At 54.8% G+C, this 19,413-nt stretch overlaps 1 protein-coding gene across 3 annotated transcripts, besides 8 other annotated features; it reads right to left on the reverse strand.

Annotated features, from left to right (window-relative positions):
• Positions 485 to 984: an enhancer, noted in NCBI's record as "H3K4me1 hESC enhancer chr22:30656529-30657028 (GRCh37/hg19 assembly coordinates)". NCBI's record gives its function as "activates a minimal SCP1, AML or CMV promoter by ChIP-STARR-seq in naive H9 embryonic stem cells {active_cell/tissue: H9 hESC(naive)}" and the evidence as "EXISTENCE:reporter gene assay evidence [ECO:0000049][PMID:30033119]".
• Positions 2,774 to 6,796, reverse strand: OSM (oncostatin M). 3 transcript variants are annotated; one of them, NM_020530.6, is made up of 3 exons: positions 6,711 to 6,796; positions 4,947 to 5,089; positions 2,774 to 4,409 (listed from the first exon to the last, which is right to left on the reverse strand). In NM_020530.6, the coding sequence occupies exons 1-3, from the start codon at positions 6,742 to 6,744 to the stop codon at positions 3,828 to 3,830; spliced, it is 759 nt and encodes a 252-aa protein (NP_065391.1). In that variant the 5' UTR covers positions 6,745 to 6,796; the 3' UTR covers positions 2,774 to 3,827. The 3 variants fall into 3 exon arrangements, with proteins under 3 accessions (NP_065391.1, XP_047297343.1, NP_001306037.1); XM_047441387.1 differs by having other exon boundaries at positions 5,351 to 6,796; NM_001319108.2 differs by lacking the exon at positions 6,711 to 6,796 and adding an exon at positions 5,504 to 6,185.
• Positions 2,976 to 3,775: an enhancer, noted in NCBI's record as "H3K4me1 hESC enhancer chr22:30659020-30659819 (GRCh37/hg19 assembly coordinates)". NCBI's record gives its function as "activates a minimal SCP1, AML or CMV promoter by ChIP-STARR-seq in naive and primed H9 embryonic stem cells {active_cell/tissue: H9 hESC(naive and primed)}" and the evidence as "EXISTENCE:reporter gene assay evidence [ECO:0000049][PMID:30033119]".
• Positions 3,776 to 4,574: an enhancer, noted in NCBI's record as "H3K4me1 hESC enhancer chr22:30659820-30660618 (GRCh37/hg19 assembly coordinates)". NCBI's record gives its function as "activates a minimal SCP1, AML or CMV promoter by ChIP-STARR-seq in primed H9 embryonic stem cells {active_cell/tissue: H9 hESC(primed)}" and the evidence as "EXISTENCE:reporter gene assay evidence [ECO:0000049][PMID:30033119]".
• Positions 5,960 to 6,039: an enhancer, noted in NCBI's record as "active region_18829". NCBI's record gives its function as "activates an Ori minimal core promoter by ATAC-STARR-seq in GM12878 lymphoblastoid cells {active_cell/tissue: GM12878}" and the evidence as "EXISTENCE:reporter gene assay evidence [ECO:0000049][PMID:35858748]".
• Positions 6,100 to 6,199: an enhancer, noted in NCBI's record as "active region_18830". NCBI's record gives its function as "activates an Ori minimal core promoter by ATAC-STARR-seq in GM12878 lymphoblastoid cells {active_cell/tissue: GM12878}" and the evidence as "EXISTENCE:reporter gene assay evidence [ECO:0000049][PMID:35858748]".
• Positions 16,171 to 16,760: an enhancer, noted in NCBI's record as "H3K27ac-H3K4me1 hESC enhancer chr22:30672215-30672804 (GRCh37/hg19 assembly coordinates)". NCBI's record gives its function as "activates a minimal SCP1, AML or CMV promoter by ChIP-STARR-seq in primed H9 embryonic stem cells {active_cell/tissue: H9 hESC(primed)}" and the evidence as "EXISTENCE:reporter gene assay evidence [ECO:0000049][PMID:30033119]".
• Positions 17,632 to 18,160: an enhancer, noted in NCBI's record as "H3K4me1 hESC enhancer chr22:30673676-30674204 (GRCh37/hg19 assembly coordinates)". NCBI's record gives its function as "activates a minimal SCP1, AML or CMV promoter by ChIP-STARR-seq in primed H9 embryonic stem cells {active_cell/tissue: H9 hESC(primed)}" and the evidence as "EXISTENCE:reporter gene assay evidence [ECO:0000049][PMID:30033119]".
• Positions 18,161 to 18,689: an enhancer, noted in NCBI's record as "H3K4me1 hESC enhancer chr22:30674205-30674733 (GRCh37/hg19 assembly coordinates)". NCBI's record gives its function as "activates a minimal SCP1, AML or CMV promoter by ChIP-STARR-seq in primed H9 embryonic stem cells {active_cell/tissue: H9 hESC(primed)}" and the evidence as "EXISTENCE:reporter gene assay evidence [ECO:0000049][PMID:30033119]".

Here is a 19,413-nt window from a genome sequence, read left to right on the forward strand (position 1 = left end):
ACTGTGACTCCTCAGGAGATGTTACGGGGGTGACAAGTCCTCATAGACAGTGTACTTGAGACCCCCTCCCAGAGTCAAGCTCCCCCATCTGTTTCCTGTGGGGTGGGTGTGCTCTAGTTCAAAGTCAGCCTCAGACTCCTCTCCTGGGCAGTGAGAGGTAGGGGATGGCCAGGGGTCAGGCAGCCATGCTGGGCTTCCCAGCTTTTCCTCCACAGGCCAACCTCTGCCCTCCTGGAGGGCAACCCCAGCGTCAGCTGCGGTGCCTGCTCCTCTTCCGCTCCGGGAACCAGAGTGTACCTGGCTTTTGGTGTCTGCCACCTCCCACCCACAGCTTCCCAGCAGCTGAGGTGGAGGAAACCCTCTTCCCCCAGCTGGGGCAGGGAGACACAAGTGAGGGCCCCCACTCTGCTGTTGGCGGGGCCTGGAGCCAGGGCAGGCCGAGCGTGGGGGTGGCACCTGTCTAGGATGGGCTCCCTGGTGCAGGCCTCGGTGCCTCTGCTTCCCCCAGCAACACATTTGCCTCTGTCTTCTCCTTGGGGCTGGGAGGCGGGGCCCCACCTGCCCTGCTCTTCCTTGAGCGCCTACTGTGCACCAGGCACCATGCGGATGCAGAGACAGCATCAAGCAAAGCAGACTCGGTCTCCGTCCTCCATGCTAATAAGAGATGCAGTTGGGAATGTGAACACCACACAGAGTGCGTGCTGCCAGAAGGGACGGCACAACCAAGTTCCTGGACCCAGACTCTGGACAGGTGAGGAAGAATTGCTAAGGATGCATCCTCCAGCTGAGATCTGACAAGGAAGGAGCTAACTTGACAAACAGGACGGGGAACAGCATTCCAGGCAGAGGGAACAGCATAAGAAGAAACCCTGTGGTAGGAAGGAGCCCCAGGCATTTTGGGAGCCAAAAGATGGCCGTTATGGTAGGACCCCTGAGGGCAAGGGGGAGCCCAGTGGGGGCCGCGGGAGGCTCTTGCTAGGTACTTGGTAAATAGGCTGGAATATTTCAGAGAGCTTCCCAGGAAGACTGCTGGTTGGGAGTTAGGGGCCTGGAGTTCTAGCCTCAGCCCTGCACTACTTTGCTCTGTGACCCTAAGCAAGATGCGTCCCCTCTCTGGGCCTTTGGGTAAATCCTGATGCCCTCACTCATGATACTCTGATCCCTGAATGCTCAGAGCCTTTGCCCTAGCTCTTCCCGCCTCCCCATCTGCACGTCACTCAGACCACAGTGTGGACATCACCTCTCCAGATGCCACTCTGACCACTCGCAGCGCCTGGCTCTCCCGCTGCTGTTACATCACCCTGCTTTATTTTTGCTGAGCTCATCCTGCAATCGCAGATGCTCCTGTTGGTCCTTGTGCCTGTCTATTGTCTGTCTGCCCCTTGCCCTGGAGCTCTGTGCCTTCAGGAATTCATGAAATTGTCAGCCAAGTTACAGAGGAAGAGGGGCACCAGGAAGATGCATCCGCCTGGGAGTCCCACGGCCCTGAATTCAAACTGTGCCTATCCCCAGTTAATTTGGTCTGAGGATGTGGGCAGGCCACTCAGACTCTCTGAGCCTCAGTCTTCTCATCTGCAAAATGTATCATGTCTATTGCAGGGAGTTCTGCACTGATTCTCCTCCACCCTGATGTCAAGTCCTCCTGTTCCCATCCCATCCCCAGCTCTATTTGCCATTTCAGGAAGTGGGGGTAGCCAGGGACCGATCCAAGTCAAGCTCACCTGCCTCTGGGAGCCCTTGCCTCAGCATGTTTTCAGCCTATACGTGCTCGCCTGGGCATTCGGGGGGAGCCCAGTTTTCTGCGAGTCAGATGGAAACCCTAACCCCTTGGGCACTTCAGGAAGCAGTTTTAAGCACAAACCAGGTCACTGGCCTTGTCTAAGGCAGGATCTGTTATTCTTTTGTTCATTCCACAGATGAGGAAACAAAGGCTCAGAGATGTGAAGGAATTTTCCCAAGGTCACCCAGAGAGATGGAACGGGGCTGAGACAGGATTTCAAGCCCAGCCAGGTCTCTTCATTCTTCTGCACACAGCCATTCCTCGTGTCTGCTGCATGCTCACTCCACATGAGGCAGGATGCTGGTGGCAGGGGTGTAACTGTGAACTCACTCTTTGATTTATTCCACAAATGCCTAGAGCACCTTCCATGTTCCAGGCGCCGGATGTGCCCATGTCCCCCAGGGTGATCCAGGAACATACACACATATGAGAGGACACACTGGCACATACCTAAGCTTGCACATGCACAGACATGCATGCAGAGACGCACCCAGATATCCATGCCTACAAGCATTCATAAATACAGATACAGACATATGCCTCCATTAGGACACTGACATCCAGGCTTCAAAATGAGGTAAGAGAAATACACATGCAACACACATTGGTATATAACACACATCAGCATGCAACGTCCATCAGCACACAGACCTCAGCCACACACCCATGGGGGCCCAGAAGCAGCCCACACACTCAAGCCTTTCTTCCTCCCCTCTTGCTGCCACGTCTTGACACCCCTCATCCCCAATGTGTCAAGGGAGCCCCATTTGGCCATAACCAATGCCTCATCTGAGTTTGACACCCCACCCCACCACAGTCACAGCCCCCGGCGGCTGGGGCATGTGACTTCCCTTCCTAGGCAGAGCAAGGACCTCCAGCCCATCCCCAGAGCATGGACGCTTTTGGCCTTGCCACCAAGGTCCCTCCTCTCTCTAAGAGGCTGCCCTTCCACCACCCCAAATCCTTTCCAAGACAACCGTGAGACACAGAGGGTTTAGAAACCAGGCAAGTTTTAAATATAAGTTTGCACAATATTAACATTAAATATACATCATAAATAAGGCTTATAAATATAAAACTGATAAAAATTGATAAAAATCGATAAATTAGTCATGTCCCTCCAAGGAACTGGCCTCGCAGTTTCTGAGACCCCCTCTAGGAGAGCAATGGCTCCTGCGTGAGAAAATTCCAGGATCCACCACCAGGGGGAGCAGCCAGCAGCGAGGACCCAAGACGGGCTTCCCGGCGCTGGGAGGTGGGTCTGCTTTTACAGAGACCTCCGTGTACACCTCCCAGCGCCATTTGCACCACCTGTCCTGATTTACAGATTTTTAATATCCACCTTACGTCAGGGAATCCAAGCAACCGACAGGCAGTGGGGGCCTTGTACAGCCTCTAACTCCCTAGCTTCACAAAGAGAAAACAGGTCCACAGAGGTAAAGTGACCTGCCCCAGGCCACGTGGCGACTTCGGGGCTGGCCTGGGACCTGAGCTCCATTCCCTGGACCCCCGGATCAGGGCTCCTGGGACACCCTGCCGCTGTTACAGCTGCCTAAAGTGAGGTCACCCAGACATCCAGGTGTCTGGTTTGGGACATGATGAGGCATAGGAGGCCAGCTCAGGCTGTGACCTCCCCTTCAGAAACACGGAAAGGAGGAAGTCTGGGGGCAACGGCCCTGCAAGTCATGAGAGGGAAGGACCGGCAGGCCTCGGGGAGCAAGGCAGGGGGGCAGTCAGCCCGGCCATGAGTCAGCCTGTGTCATCAGACCCCTGAATCAATGGAAAGTCGGTCCCGCGTGGCCCGCCCGGCCACCCCACTGGGCCTGGGGAACTTGGGGCTGAGGTGGGAGCGCAACAGCCTGACTCTGTCTCCCAGCCTGGAGGAGGTAGAGGGGTCTGCCCAGCTCCCACCTCTTAAAGTGCACTTCTCAGTGGCTAGTAGCAGAGGGGAACAGGTTTGGGGACCCGGGAGCTGTCATCCTGCGATGGTTCCTCTCATCCACAGAGCACCTGCCGCATCCTTCACCGGCAAGGGGTGCTCTCGAGGCTACCGGGGCAGCTGTCCCCTGGTCATGAGTCTCTTGCCTTTCCTGGAGGGTCTGGTCCTGCGCACCCCCTTCCTCAGGGCCTGGTGGGGGCTGTGTCTCCGGCTCCGGTTCGGGCTCTCCCCCCACTTGCTGAAGACCCGCCCCACTGAGTGCATGAAGCGATGGTAGCCATGCAGGAACCTGCAGCCCTCCAGCTTGCGCTGAAAAGCATCCGAGGCAGGGGTGGGGGTGGGCGGCTGAGAGGCCCCCCGGCCAGCCTTCGTGGGCTCAGCCGTGTCTGAGTTGTCCAGCAGCTGGGCCATGCAGTAGATGTTGTTCCTGAGCCCGAGGATGTTCGGCCTCGCCATCTGCAGCTTCTCCAAGTCCTCGATGTTCAGCCCAGACCTCTCCAAATCCTGGGCCTTGGGGAGGCGCTGCTCTAAGTCGGCCAGTCTGTGCAGGACGCAGCCCAGTGTGGCATTGAGGGTCTGCAGGAAGCCCCGCCTGCCCAGCCCCCTCAGGGTCTCCTCACTGGGGAAGGCCCCGGGGCGCTCCCTGCAGTGCTCTCTCAGTTTAGGAACATCCAGGCCTTGGATACGTATCTGGCGGGAACAGGAGGATCACAGGGTGAATGCTGAGGATCCGGACCACACTCACAGACAAGTAAGCCTTGAAATGCTAGACCTCATGCACCCCAATCCAATCTCCCACTGGACAGATCCGGAAACTGAGGCCCGAGAGGGAAGAGGACCCCAAGATCACTGCAGGCAAGGTCGGAGTGATGTTGGGGGGCTGGTGGGATGCCCGTGGGGAATGAAGAGCTTCAAGAGGGCTGGACTCTGTCTTGCTCACTGCTACGTCCCAGTGCCTAGACCAGAGCCTGGCAGGTGTGCAGGAAACACACTGAGTAAGCAGGTGAGCATGGTGATGGTGTCCGGAGTCCCGCCCCGGGACCACAGAGCTAGGAAAGCTGGAGGGCCAGCCTTAGCTCCTCAGGGTTAAGGCTGGAATAACATAGCGACTCAGTTCCCCGACCTGGCCATATGGAGTGGGGCTAGGCCTGTCCTCCCTGCTTCTCACTCCCTTCCTAACCCCATAGTTCTCTGAGACTCAGATGCCACAAGGGCCCAGGTGCTTACATAGGGGTCCAGGAGTCTGCTGGTGTCCTGCATGAGATCTGTCTGCTTCTGGAGCTGGCCAAGGAGCACGCGGTACTCTTTCGAGCAGCTGCCTATAGCCGCCATGCTCGCCATGCTTGGAAACAGGAGTGCAAGGACCAGACCTAAGGCAGAGAAGAGGGGTGTCACCTGACTTGGTGAGGAAAGCCACAGATGGGAGCCTCGGGGAGGGGGTTCAAGAGGGCCTTGAAAGGTGCCTCCTTCATCCCAGACTTTGTGTAGTGGAGGGCGGGGGCTGGGCACTGTGTGGCACGGTGTGTGCCCAGGTGTGCCCACCAAGGCCACCATCATCTCCCCAGTAAGTCACTGCCCAGGGCCTGACACAGCAAGCAGTGGGAGGGACTGAGACAGTGGCTGCGATTTACCAAGTAGGTCTTTGAGCAAAGGCTGCAGTGCCTGGCCGGATCCCAGTCCTGCCTACAGCACGGTTCTAACCTCGGGAGCTGACTCTCTGCAAGGTGGGACTGGCTCCCTGCAAGACCACTGGGCTAAAGACCGGCCACTGCCCTAGGACCTGCCTTGTCAGCTGCTCTGGCCATCCAGGTAGATGGGCCTGAGAGGGCTTCAGGGCAGGCAGCCCGGGAGCAGCTTGTGTCCTCAGCTCTGTCTAGAACCAGGAGAGGCTGCCTTTTCAACCAGAGGTGCAGCCTGGAACAGATGTGGAAGACCTTCCAGTCCATGTCCCCACTTTCCTGACAGGTAAACCAAGTCTCAGGAGAAGGTCCTACTCAGGTCACACAAGGCCAGGGCTCTCCCCTGACCTCTCTTGCCTCCCTCCTCTCTCCATAAGTGGCTCCTTCTGTCAGGCCCACCAGGGATGCTGTGAGCCTGTCAGAAGGTGTTGGGGGCGGGTACAGTTACCGCTCACCACCACCCCCAACGGGGCACCGGCAGCCACGTGGTCGGAAGGGGCCTATGGCGCAATGGCCCGGAAGGCAGTGACACCATCGTTCCCGTCCTAAGAACCATCCGGCCCTTTGGGGAAGACTGGCTGTTGGGGAGGGCCAAGGGGCCAGGCACCCAGGCTTAGCGACCCCACGGCACCCTCGCCGCCTCCCCAGGTATCTGCTGCCGGGCTCTGGCAGGGGCCTGTGCCTGTGGCAGCGCACGTGGGACTGGGGTTTCTGTGTGGCTGTGCATCTGGGTCTGTGTGCGGCGTGAGGGAGACCTGTTCCGTTCACCATGGGGACTCTGGTCTGCATGTGGGGGTTCCTGGGCTGGTGAGATCCAGGGCTGTAGATGACGTCATATGGCTGTGTGCGCATGTGGCCATGTGGGTGTGGCTGTGCATGCTGTGTGATTGTGTGGGCCCTGGGGCCCCCAGGCCTGGCTGACTTTCTATTCATCCCGGGCAAGCTGGAGGCCCCACAACCCCTCCACACCTCACACCACTTCCCTGCCCAGCTTCTGAGCCTCCCTCTCCTGCCCAGCCTCTTTGCCCATCCTATTCTCTCACCCCCTGGTTCCCAGAGTTGCCTCTACATCTTGACATCACCTCCCCCTGGAAGCCTTCCAGGGATGCCCCTTCTCTACCTGTGGAGATGCCAGGTTCTCAGTGGACCACTCTCTCTGCCTGACCTCCTGGCTCTCTCCCCTTCTCAGCATCCTTCTGCCTGGCGCCTGGCCTCCCCAGTTCCCGGAGGGCAGAGGGTGCCTCTGCTCCCCACCGGCACCCGTGGGCAGACCCAGCAGGCGGGTTCTGGCGGGGAGGAAGGAAGTACTTACTGAGCAGCGTCCTCTGTGTGAGCAGTACCCCCATGCTGGGTGCCCGTGCTCCGGCCCGCGCCCGCTGGGGGTGACACCTCTCGGCTGGGAGCCCTGCAGGCTGGCAGCCACTTTATGCCCGCTGGGGCGATTGGCCAACACCTCATGAGGTGGGTGGGGATGGGGAGGGGGGAGGGCAGGCCTTCTGGGAACATGACCCCAAAAACCAAAATTTCCACGGGCGGCCAATGGGCGCAGGGCGCGGTGTATGCCCGCTCCTCCTCCTGTTTTCTTCGAATTCGTTCTTCGAGGTCAGCCCTACGCCCAAGGATGATGTAAAACCGCAGCCTCAGCCTTCCTAGGGTGAGTGGGGAGGAAAAGGGTCCATGCCATCTTCAGGGAACTGGGCCAGGGATGGGCAGGAGGGACTTCGAGCTGGGCCTCTGGAGGCCCCAGGCCAGTCTTGGCCCAGGAGCCATTGGCCTCACAGGACACGGTGGTTGGGGGCTGAGGGGAGCGAGACATCTTCCTTCTTGAGTGCCCTTCCTGCCCTCTCGCCGGGGCTGTTGGGACATCTGTGAGCGGAAACCACCGGGCTCTGGGCACAGAGCCAGACGCAGGCTGGCAGCCCCGAGATTGTGGTTCAGGCCCCAGGACCAGCATCCCCCAGCCCGGCTCCCGACGGTCTCCTTTCCCCCATCGTGCACCCTCTGCCAGGCCCACTCCCCAAAGCCAGGCCTTGTCTTTGTAGGCAGGCTCCACTGGGGAGAACTGGACACTTGGAGCAAGAGAAACAGGAGGCCAGGGTTCAAGCCTGCTGAGGTGCTGTGTGACCTGAGGCAAGTCACTTAACCTCTCTGGGCCTCAGAGACCCACAACTATAAAATGAGGAGGAGAAAAGCCTTTCCCAGCCCACCTCACAGGGTTGCTGCCAGCATGGACATAAAAGGAAAAGACCTCTGAAGGAAAAAGCAAAGATGAAGGTCTGATTCCAAGTATTAGCTGTCGAGGGGGCGGGATGGGGGAAGGAGGAGATGGGGAAGCTGTGAGCTCAGAGGGGAAGCCGGGGAGGGGGAGTTGCCGCCTTGACAGTTGGGGACCAGGTTTCACTTTCTCTGAAAGATAGCGATCTTAGGTTGGTCCTCTGCGAAAGGGCCCTGGGAACAGCGCCTCCCTAGTCAAACTGCTACTTTACTGTGGGGTAAACTGAGGCCTGGGTGAAGGCAGACAGGGAGGCCAAGAGGCTGGCCCAGGCCTATAGACCCTGCCTGGTCAGCACATCTCCCAGGCCCAGAGGAGGGTCCTTGGCCTGCACCCTAAGAAGCCCGGGTGGGAGGAGGCCCTCAGGAGTCTGGGGAGTCAGGGTGGGACTCCTGGAGGCTGCCAGGGAGGCCTGAGCTGCTCCAGCTGGAGGGAGCATGGGGTCTGGGGCGCCTGAGCAAGGAGAGCTGGGGCAGCCAGAAAGGAGGAGGTTGGATGCACCCCTGTCCATGCCTGCTCCCGATGCCCACTGTGGCCACCAAGGCAGTTGCCACCCATTCTCCCCATCACTCATTTATTCATTCGACAAACCTTTATTTGGCTCCATGCTGCACCAGCCACTCCCAGGTCTGAGGATCACGTAGTAGGCAAAAATAGGCGACCCCACGCCCAGGAGGCTGCTCTTCAGCCCCTACCCACTCCCCGGCACCCAGGCTGGGACTCACCACACCAGGCCTCATACCTCCCCCTCACCACCCCCAGGGGCCAGTTCTGGATTCTCATCCTGAGAATGTCGCTTCCGCTGAAGTCCTCATCTCTGTGCCCACCCCCACAATGCTGTTTCCTGGGGCCATGCCAAGAGGGGATCCTTCTCCATTTCACATCCCTGATCTCGTCTTTTTTTCTCTTTTTTTAAATGCAGGATCTTGCTCTGTCACCCAGGCTGGAGTGCAGTGGCGCCATTGTAGGTAGCTCACTGTGGCCTCCAGCTCCTAAGCTGAAGCAAGGCTCCCCGCCTTAGTCTCCTGAGTAGCTGAGACCACAGGCATGCATCACTATGCCCAGCTAATTTTTTTATTTTTTGTAGAGACGGGGTGTCACTATGTTGCCCAGGCTGATAACAAACTCCTGGGTTCAAATGATCCTCCTGCCTTGGCCTCCCAAAGTGCTGGGATTGCAAGCGTGAGCCACAGCACCCAGCCACCGATCTCATCCTGCAACAGCCAGGGGAGAGAAGCCGCTGGGCAGTGACACCTCAGCTCACTTCAGTGAGGAGCTCGAAGCTCTGGGAAGTTTAGGGGCTGGCTCAAGGAAGGAGCGCCAGATCTGAGCAGAGGGGTCTAGGCCATTTTCAGCTGTGGCTGACCGACCACCACGCTTGGTGAGAAACAGCCACATGCCTTTATCTTATTCTATCTATCCTGTGGTCCAGGGAGGCCGTGCTGTCTCCTCATGGCAGAGAGAGGAGGTTGCTTTGTCTGAGGTCACCTATGAATAGTTAAGAGGAGAGGGGCATTTGGCCAGGCATGGTGGCTCACGCCTGTAATCCCAGCACTTTGGGAGGCCGAGGCAGGAGGGTCATTTGAGCCCAGGACTTCGAGACTGTGTCTTTACAGAAAATGTAAAAATAAATTATCCAGACATCGTAGTGCATACCTGAAGTCCCAGCTACTAGGGAGGTTGAGGCAGGAGGATCGCTCGAGCCCCGAAGGTTGAGGCTGCAGTGAGCCATTATCATGCCACAGGACTCCAGCCTGGGTGACAGAGCAAGGCCCTGTTTAAAAAAAACAAAAAACAAAAAACCCACCAAGAAAAGAAGGCATTCAAACGAGGCCCAAAGACCATACTCTTTGCACATAGTTAATGAGGGTGTCAGGCACAGGGCCCAGGGCTCAGAGTCACTGAAGGTAAGGAGAGCAGGTAGATTACATTGCTAGGACTCCCATAACAAAGTACCACAGACTGGGGGGCTTACGTAACAGAGATTTATTTTCTCACAGTTCTAGAGGCTGAAGTCTGAAATCAAGGGCTGGTTCCCAAGGCCTCTCTCCTTGACTTGTAGATGACTGTCTCTCCCCGTATCTCCACATCATGTTCCTTCTGCTTGTCCGTGGCCTAATCGATTTTTTTTTTTTTTTGAGACAGAGTCTAGCTCCGTCACCCAGGCTGGAGTGCAGTGGCACGATCTCAGCTCACTACAACCTCTGCCACCTGGGTTCAAGCGCTTCTCCTGCCTTAGCCTCCTGAGTAGCTGGGATTACAGGCGTGTGCCACCACGCCAGGCTAATTTTTGTATTTTTAGTAGAGACAGGGTTTCGCCATGTTGTCCAGGCTGATCTCGAACTCCTAACCTCAGGTGATCCACCTGCCTCAGCCTCCCAAAGTGCTGGGATTACAGGAGCGAGCCACCGCGCTTGGCCTTATCTCTTCTTATGAGGACACCATTCACATTGGATTAGGGCCCACTCACATTTTACCTTAATTATTCCTTTTTTTTTTCTTTTTCGAGACAAAGTCTTGCTGTGTTGCCCAGGCTTAAGTGTACAGTGGTGCTTTCATAGCTCACTGCAGCCTTGAACTCCCGGCCTTAAGCGAGCCTCCTGCCTCAGCCTCCAGAGTAGCTGGGATTACAGGTATGTGCTACCACACCTGGCCAATTTTACCTTAATTACTTCTTTTTTTTTTTCTTTTCTTTTTTTTTTTTTTTTGAGATGGAATCTCACTCTGTCACCCACGCTGGAGTGCAGTGGCGCCAGCTTGGCTCACTGCAACCTCTGCCTCCCAGGTTCAAGCAATTCTCTGCCTCAGCCTCCCGAGTAGCTGGGACTACAAGTGCCCACCACCATGCCTGGCTAATTTTTGTATTTTTTTAGTAGAGACGGGGTTTCACCATGTAGGCCAGGCTGGTCTCGAACTCCTGGCCTCAAGTGATCTGCCTGCCATGGCCTCCCAAAGTGCTGGGATTACAGGCGTGAGCTACCGCACCCGGCCCTTAATTACTTCTTTAAAGGCTCAACTTCCAAATACAGTCACGTTCTGACACACGATGGTTAGGACTTCAACACATGAGTTCAGGGAAGACACCATTCAGTCCATGCAGCCTGCAAGAGGAAGGCATAGCTGGAGGGCACAGGGGCTGGGGCCACTGTCGGAGCATCCAGAGTGAAGTGATACACAGGAGGACAGGGAGTGGCTCGGAGGTGAGGAGGCCTGGCCGCTGACCATCCCAGCCAAGCGTGAGGAAAGATGCGTCAGCGTTTCTGGTGAGGTCAGCAATCAGTGACGTCCCTCTCACCAGCAGGAAAAGCTTGCAACATGGCCCAGCCAGTATAAATAGGCTCCCCGACCACAGGACCCGGGCTGTCCCCTCTTCCCGGGCCACGTCAGCCAGGCCCGCGTGATTTGGAGAGGAAGAGAGGACCAGCTTGGTTCCTCAGAACTGCTGCTTCCTCGCTTTCCGGCTTACCCTCTGCTGTGGGGCCCTACGCCTTTAAATGCAAGGATAGGACCTGAGATGGCCTGGCAGGGCCAGGTCGAAACTGGAGGCTGGGGAGAGGTGCTCTGGTGGGGGGAGAGAAGGTGGCCCCCAATCTGCTGGGTGGGAGGTGGAGACCAACCCAAGTTCCATCTCAATCTGCCTGTGAGCCCAGTGTCCCTGGACCAGTCATGTCCCCCTTCTGAGCCTCAGTTTCCTCTTTTTAAACTGCAATGACAACTGAACAACAATGAAAAAGACAAGCAATCCAATTTAAAAATGGGCAAAGGATTTTAATAGACATTTCTCCAAAAAAAAGAAGATATACAAATGGCCAAGAAGCACGTGAAAAGATGCTAAACACCAGGGAAATGCAAATCAAAACCACCATGAGAAGCCATTCCACATTCACTAGGGTGGCTATAATCAAAGGTAGACAATTACAAGTGCTAACGAGGAGATGGAGAGATGAGAACCCTGGGGCATTGCTGGTGGGAATCTACAATGAATGGTGCCACCAAATTGGAAAACAGTTTGGCAGTTCCGCAAATGGTTAAACACAGAGGCCAGAGGCAGTGGCTCACGCCTGTAATCCCAGCACTTTGGGAGGCTGAGGCCGGCAGATCACTTGAGGCCAGGAGTTTGAGACCAGCCTGGCCAACGTAGTGAAACTCCAACTCTACTAAAAGTACAAAAAATTACGCAGGCATGGTAGCACTCGCCGGTAGTCCCAGCTACTCGGGAGACTGAGGCAGGAGAATTGCTTGAACCTGGGAGGCGGAGGTTGCAGTGAGCCAAGATTGTGCCACTACCCTCCAGTCTGGGTGACAGAGTGAGACACTGTCTCAAAAAAAAAAAAAATAAATAGAGATATCATATAACCAACAATTCCACTCCTAGATATACACCCAAGAGAATTGAAAACATAGGCCAGGTGCAGTGGTCAGACCTGTAATCCCAGCACTTTGGGAGGCCAAGATGGGAGGATCACTTGAGCCCAGGAGTTCAAGACCAGCCTGGCCAAAAAAGTGAGACCCCATCTCTACAAAACATTTAAAAATTAGCTGAGCATGGTGGCTTGCACCTGTGTGGTCCCAGCTACTCAGGAAGCTGAGACCGAAAGATCACTTGAGCCTGCGAGGTCAAGGCTGCAGTGAGCCATATTCATACCACTGCACTCCAGCCTGAGTGACAGAGTGAGACTCTGTCTCTGGACAAAAAAAAAAAAGAGGCTGAGCACGGTGGTTCACACCTTTAATCCCAGCACTTTGGGAAGCCAAGGCAGGTGGATCACCTGAGGTCGGGAGTTCAAGACCAGCCTGGCCAACATGGTGAAACTCCATCTCTACTAAAGATACAAAAATTAGCTGGGCATGGTGGCGCACGCCTGTAATCCTAGCTACTCAGGAGACTGAGGCAGGAGAATCACTTGAATCTGGGAGGTGGAAGCTGCAGTGAGCTGAGATCGCGCCTTTGCTCTCTAGCCTGGCAACAAGAGCGAAACGCCAAAAAAAATAAGAAAGAGAGAAAGAGAGAGTGGGAGAGAGGGAGGAAGGAAGGAAACGTACATCCACACAAAAACTTGCAAATGTTCATAGGAGCAATTATTCGGCATAGCCAAAAAGTGGAAGCAACCCAAATGTCTGTCAATAGAAAATGGATAAACAAAATGTGTTCTATCCATACAAAGGAATATTAAGTCACAAAACGGAAGGAAGCATTGCCATGTGCCACAACATGCATGAACCTTGAAACCATGATGCTGCATGAAAGAAGCCAGACACAAAAGGCCACATGTTGTATGATTCTGCTATGGGAAATGTCGGGAATAGGCACATGGAGAGACACAGAGAATACACCAGTGGCTGCTGGGGGCTGGGGCATCCAGGGCTGGGGAGAGACTGCTAATGGGCACGAGGTTTCTTTGGAGGTGATGAAGATATTCTGGAATTACATAGTGGCGATGGTTGCACAACCATGTGAATATACCCAAAACCCCCAAATCATACACTTTAAAATGATACAATTGCTGGTAGGTGAGTTGTATCTGAATGTTTTAAAATGCAGTAGCAAATGCACCTTGTAGGACAGTCAGCAAAATGCAGTGAGGTGAGTACGTGAGCGCCTGGCACATTGGAGCAGGTGCTCGGTCACACTTACCCGCCAGCCGCCAGGGCAGACGAAGGCAGGCATTTGCTTATGTCACACGGTGGCTTTGAGGGAGATTGGGAAAGGCGGTGTTACATAAACCCCAGGGTGAACAAGGAGCCACCAAGCACCCTCCCCAGAAGGTCATCGAGGTCACATTGGGATGGGAGGGGGGATCCCTTGGCTTGCAACCTCCACGGAGTTCTTCTGGGACCTGGAGTGTCCACCCACAGGTGTAGGAGAAGGAACCCCGTTCTGTGCAGTAACCTCCAACTGTCTGCCTCATGGCAACCGAATCCAAAGATCCTCAGACAAGGCCCCACCACTGCCCACTCTCTGGCTGGCCTGGAAACCCCCGCTGCTGCTCTCTTTGAGTCCAGGATCCTGTCCTGAGATGAGGGGACATGTGAGATGACCACAGAATGCCCAGAACCCTACAGAGCCAGGCAGAGCCCCTTAGCGGCTCTAAGCACTAAAATACTATGCTAACTAAAAACTACCCTCAGCATCAAACAAAGATAAGGAAGTCTAGTCTGACTTTTCTCGTGATGACAACATACCATGCCTATTTTGAAACGTCAGAGTCTGGCCAAAAATGTTTGGGTGAATGGGGTACCAGTCATCATTATCGGGAATATTTCTGGAGCAACCTCTGCGTACTGGTCCCAGTCCTAAGCATTGAATCCTTGTAACCACTTTAGGAGGCAAGTATCATTATTTTGTCCTGCAGATGGTGAAGCTGAGGCCTGAGAGGCAGAGACCTGGGAGGGAGCAAAGGCACACTGGAGCCCAGGCACCCTCCTAGAGCCACCAGATCGACCCGCATGCCCAATGGGTTGTCCAGAACTGATGTTGCCAAGTGGCTTGAGGAAAGCAAAAACAACAGCTTGGGGAAGGAGCCAGGAGAGGGAGGAGGTTCCCTGTCACAGTGGGAGGCCAGCCAGGGCGCAGGACGGCACAGGCCTAGTTCAGAGAATGGCAGGTGTGGCTGGAAGTCTGACAGGGAGGAAGATGAGGAGTGAGGGGTGATGGCATCCCACTAGGCTTTGTTGCTTTTGCGGCCCCTAGGGAGGGGCTCATACCACACAGCCGGGTCGAGTCCTTCTGCTTAAACAGTCCCTGTCTTCCCATTGCCATTCTGATAAGGCCAAAGTCATTACCACAGCCACCAGGTCCTGCCCACCTCCCAGCCTCACTAGTACCTTTCTTTTGCCTGCCTTTCTCTGGCCTTCCTCAGTCCTTCCGGGAGCAGCTCTCACCTCAGGGCCTTTGCACATGCCGTTCCCACTTCCTGAGCACTCTACCTGTGACCTGCCACCTAGATATCAACGTCCAGTCCACGCTGCACCTTTTCAGGGAAGACCTCCCTGACCTTCCTCACCCCAGGCTGGTCCCAACCCGCCTCCTGGCACCCTCCCAGAGTACCACGTATCCCTCCACACCACGCTCTTCAGAGGTGTACATTTTTAAAACTATGAGGTTGTCTCTCCAGCCAGACTGGAAACTCTCAGAGGGTGTATACTGTGGTTGTGGCCCCCACCCCCATTGCCTCTCCAGAGCACAGCAAAGCCCCCAGAATGTAATAGGCTCTCCATACATTCTTGGTGAACCGATGAATGCACAGCCATATAGCTGCAGCCATCTTTAGAAGCCTGGGGAAAGGTGAGCTGTGGCTCCCAGGCTGCAGGACCCAGAGGCGTCCCTGTCCCACATCTGGTGAACCCAGAGCCAGGCCTCTGGAAGTGCAGGGCCATCTCGCTGTGGGCAGGAACAAGTCTCTCAGGCCCTTTTCCATGCATTCTCCCGGTCCCCTCTCCCGAAGAATCAGAACTCTATCAATCACAGTCCATCAGAGCATGTGATTTTGTTTCTGGGAAGCTTCAATTTCAAAGACGCTGAGTTTCTCTTTTATGATAATTTTTTTAAAGGGAAATCAAAATCTGCTCTTTCACTCACTGCAGATTTCAGCACTTTCCCGGAAAATTGACTAAAAAAGAAAAAGCCACTGGTGCTTCTTTTAAAGGGTTCACTTCAGAATGAATTCCACATGAGTGGCACCTGATGGTCTCATAGAAAGAGATTGGTCTTCGTGGAAGGGGGCAGTCCTACCTTTTGCAAAAACAGACAAATCACAGTGGGTTCTCAGTCTGTCATTTGACCTATATTTAAGTACCCACTGTGTGTGCTGGGCACAGGCTAGATGTGGAGGATAAATCAGAGAGAAGGAAAAGGCTTCCGGTCAAATGAATCTGCACCGAATGTCTTTTTATAGCCAGGTTTTGAAGGGTGAGTAAACGCACACGCTCACACATGTGCATACAAGGGCCAACACCCGGCACATGGAAGGGTCTGGAAAACCCACTGATGGACCACCCATTTCTCAACCCAGGCCACAGAAGGGAGCACCTGACTCACCCTCGCTTTTGTGGTGTAGCAATGCACCTGTGTCCTGAACAGCACCAATCAGAATCCTTCCCTGGAATGACGTCAGACTCAGGAAGCATACCTCTGTCACATGGCTGGGATATCACTAATCTGCCGCTATGGAAAACCACCTTCCCCAGCCTCACAGGCAGAGGTGTGGGGTCCTGCAGAGTGGACAAGAATGTGCCCGGCGCAGCCAGGGAGGCTGAGGGGTCTCCCTGAGCCCTGATCCCTGTTGAAGCCAGGGACATACACGTGGTGTGTCCCAGCCACACGGGACAAGACACAGGTCCCCTCTTTGCTAGCTGTGCTGGTTTTCTGGCACTTGGAGCTGGGAGTCCTTCGTCCCACACAAGCATGAAGATAGAGGCAGGAGGCACGGAGGACAGGGAGGAAGTTGGTCAGACTCAGAACGTTCTGTTGGTGCCAGCTGCACGGGCACAGCAAGTGCTGCAAAACCTCAGAGTCTTTGCCCAACAAAGAGGCAACTGCAGAAGATGGTGGGAAGCGGCCAGGGTCCCAGTGGGGCTGTCTACAAATGACAGCCCTGATCCCAAGGGGAAGTCTGGGACAAAGAGGTGGGGCTCCCAGGGATGTGGATCACCACCTGGAGGAAGTGCCCTGGGACAGGCGCTGTGCAAGGGTAGCTTTCCTCCCCGTCTTATTCTCGGAGAGACACCAAGGAAACTCAGGGTGTTTATTCTGATACGAAAAAGAGAAACAAATCCGGTAGTTCTGAGGGGAGAGAAGGCCATCAGCGCTTGCTCCATCCAAGGGCCTGCTGGTGGCCATTCAATGGGTGATAGAGGGTGACTGGCCAGGGCCAGGTCACTCTGTCCACAGAACAAGCATATACAGAAGGAAGGCAGAACAATGTGTCATTAAACACAAGTGCTGGGCGCCTCCACAGTCAAGAAGGCAGAGCTTAGTAACCGAAAGGTGAAAACAACCCAAATGTCCTTTAACAGATAATACAGCCGGGCACGGTGGCTCATGCCTGTAATCCCAGCACTTTGGGGGGCTGAGGCAGGTGGATCACCTGAGGTCAGGAGTTCAAAATCAGCCTGGCCAACATGGTGAAACGCCATCTCTACTAAAAATACAAAAATTAGCCGGGCGTGGTGGCGGGCGCCTGTAGTCCCAGCTACTCAGGAGGCTAAGGCAAGAGAATCTCTTGAACCGGGAGGTGGAGGTTGCAATGAGCCAAGATGGCGCCATTGCACTCCAGCCTGGGCGACAAGAGTGAAACTCTATCTCAAAAAAAAGAGAAAAGAAACAAAATGTGGTCTACGCAAACCATGGACTATTATTCAGCCATAAAAAAGAGTGAAGCACTAAAACACACTGCAACGTGGATGAACCCCAAAGACGTTATGCTGAACCAAAGAATCTAGATGCAAAATGTCACCTATTACACAATTCCATTGCAAGAAATATCCACCATAGGCAAATCCATAGAGACAGAATGCAGACTGGTGGTCGCCAGGGGCCGGGGGAGGGAGGAATGGGGAGTGGCTATTAATGAACGTGGGGTTTCTTTTTGGATTCATGAAGATGTTTCAGAACTAGACAGTTGTGCAACATTGTGAATGTACGAAAGGGCCCCGAATTCCTGAATTTGTTTTTTTTTTTTTCTTTTTTCTTTTTCTTTTTTTTTTTTTTTTGGAGATAAGGTCTGGCTCCTTTGCCCAGGCTGGAGTGCAATGGCATGATCTCAGCTCACTGCAACCTCCATCTCCTGGGCTGAAGTCACCTCAAGCCACCCCCTGCAGCTGGGACTACAGGCACGTGCCAACAGGCCCGGCTAGCTTTTAGTAGAGATGGGGTTTTGCCATGTTGCCCAGGCTGGTCTCAAACTCCTGAGCGCAAGTGATCCGCCCACCTCAGCCTTCCAAAGCGCTGGGATTACAGGCATGGCACCCAGCCCAATTAGTCATTTTTAAAATGGCTGGTTTTATATATTATGTGAAGCTCATTGCAATTAAAAAAAATTTTTAAGGCAGAGCTGAAAAACACAACCACCCCAGGAAAGCCAAGGGGGCTGGAAGACAGTGAGTCAGACGTCAAGGGGGCAGGAGAAAGTCCAAGGGCCTCCCCTGGCTCTTCCTGTTTTATTGCCTATTGTGCACTTATCTAAGAGCTCTTATTCTTAGACACAGAAAAGCCTCACTTAAGTTGCAAAGGCCGAGGCATGCTGGCTTAGGACACTGCCTGATGGCAGCTGGGAAGGCTTTCCTCTTTGGGAGAGAACAAGCATGGGGAGGCGCCAACCGGAAAGCTGGTGCAGGCTGGGAGGTCTCAAAGGCAGGTCTCGTGAGCAGGGGGCTGTGATCAGGGAGGGAGAGGACACACTAGGATTGAGACTGAGGCAGGGAGGCCAGCGGGGAGTCTAAGACAGCAACAGAGGAGAGGACATCCGTGGCTGAATCCGGTCCCTGGAAAGCATGGGGTGCCGACTGGGGAGGAGCACTGGGCTGGAGAGCCAGCAGGGTGGGGGGGCTCTGTGTCAGGGCAGGCTGGCTGAGCAGAGTCCAGGCTGAGCAGCTCTGGGCACAGTGGGCAGAAAGGAGGGGCAGTCGTGCTTCTGGCTGCAGACAGAAGAAGGGGACAGAGAAGGAGAGGAGGGAGCGGGTAGGAGGGAAACTGGAGAGGCCAAGGCTGAGGGAGCCAGGGCAGGAAGATGGAAGGTGGAGGGTACTGGTGACTGCATGGGAGCTGGGCCTTCTGAGAGCTGGGCACTGGAACCAGCACTGGGGGAGGTGGCAGTGCAGTAGCAAATGTCCCCTGATCAGGGAGAGGCAGGGAGGCCTGAGGGCATGTGGGTTCAGGGTAGAGAAGTAGACAAGAGGGTACACATAGGCACATGTGTGAACACAAAAACGTGAAAGACGGCTGGGCGCTGTGGCTCATGCCTGTAATCTTAGCACTTTGGGAGGCCAAGTGTGGATCACCTGAGGTCAGGAGTTTGAGACCAGCCTGATTAACATGGTGACTAACTTGACTGAAAATACAAAAATTAGCCGGGCGTGGTGGCGCACGCCTGTAATCCCAGCTACTTGGGAGGCTGAGGCAGGAGAAGCGGCTGAGCCTGGGAGGCAGAGGTTGCAGTGAGCCGAGATCGTGCTACTGCATTCCAGCCTGGGTGACAGAGTGAGACCTGTCTCAAAAAACAAAACAAAAAAAAACATGGAAGATGCCTCCATGCACGCATACTCTCAAAAACATACAAAACCAGCCCTGACACATAGAAAAACAGACTTGCAGAAACATAGACCCCCCCCAACACTCACATGTGTACACACATACACAGACGCACAGACACATACAGCCATATACATGCAGGCAGGCACACATGCAGAAAGAGAGCCAGTGTTCTTATGTAAGCAGATACATGTACACCCACAGACAGCCTGACCTCCAATAGAGGTCCAAGTACACACCCACACCAGGACACAACGTCACTTCTACATGTGGGTAAACTGTCTCACATACATGTGCACCTTCCTGCCAAAACAGACTCATCTGTAGAGACGTATACACAGAGGTCTGCACTCACTGCAAAGGCAATGCTGCCCACACACACCCAAGCAGCATGCACCCATGCAGTACACACACCCGTGCAGCTTGCAGACACCCCTGCGGCACAGTCACCCATGCAGCACACACATCCACATGGCACCATGACCAACCCCCGGG

Source organism: Homo sapiens, chromosome 22, assembly GCF_000001405.40.
Source record: "Homo sapiens chromosome 22, GRCh38.p14 Primary Assembly".
NCBI lineage: Eukaryota > Metazoa > Chordata > Mammalia > Primates > Hominidae > Homo > Homo sapiens.

Coding starts and splice junctions, on each gene's coding strand:
- OSM (NM_020530.6), bottom strand. CDS start 6,744: ATGGGGGTACTGCTCACACAGAGGACGCTGCTCA. Junction 5,090..6,710: donor CACACAGAGGACGCTGCTCA/GTAAGTACTTCC, acceptor TCTCTGCCTTAG/GTCTGGTCCTTGCACTCCTG. Junction 4,410..4,946: donor GCAGACTCCTGGACCCCTAT/GTAAGCACCTGG, acceptor TGTTCCCGCCAG/ATACGTATCCAAGGCCTGGA.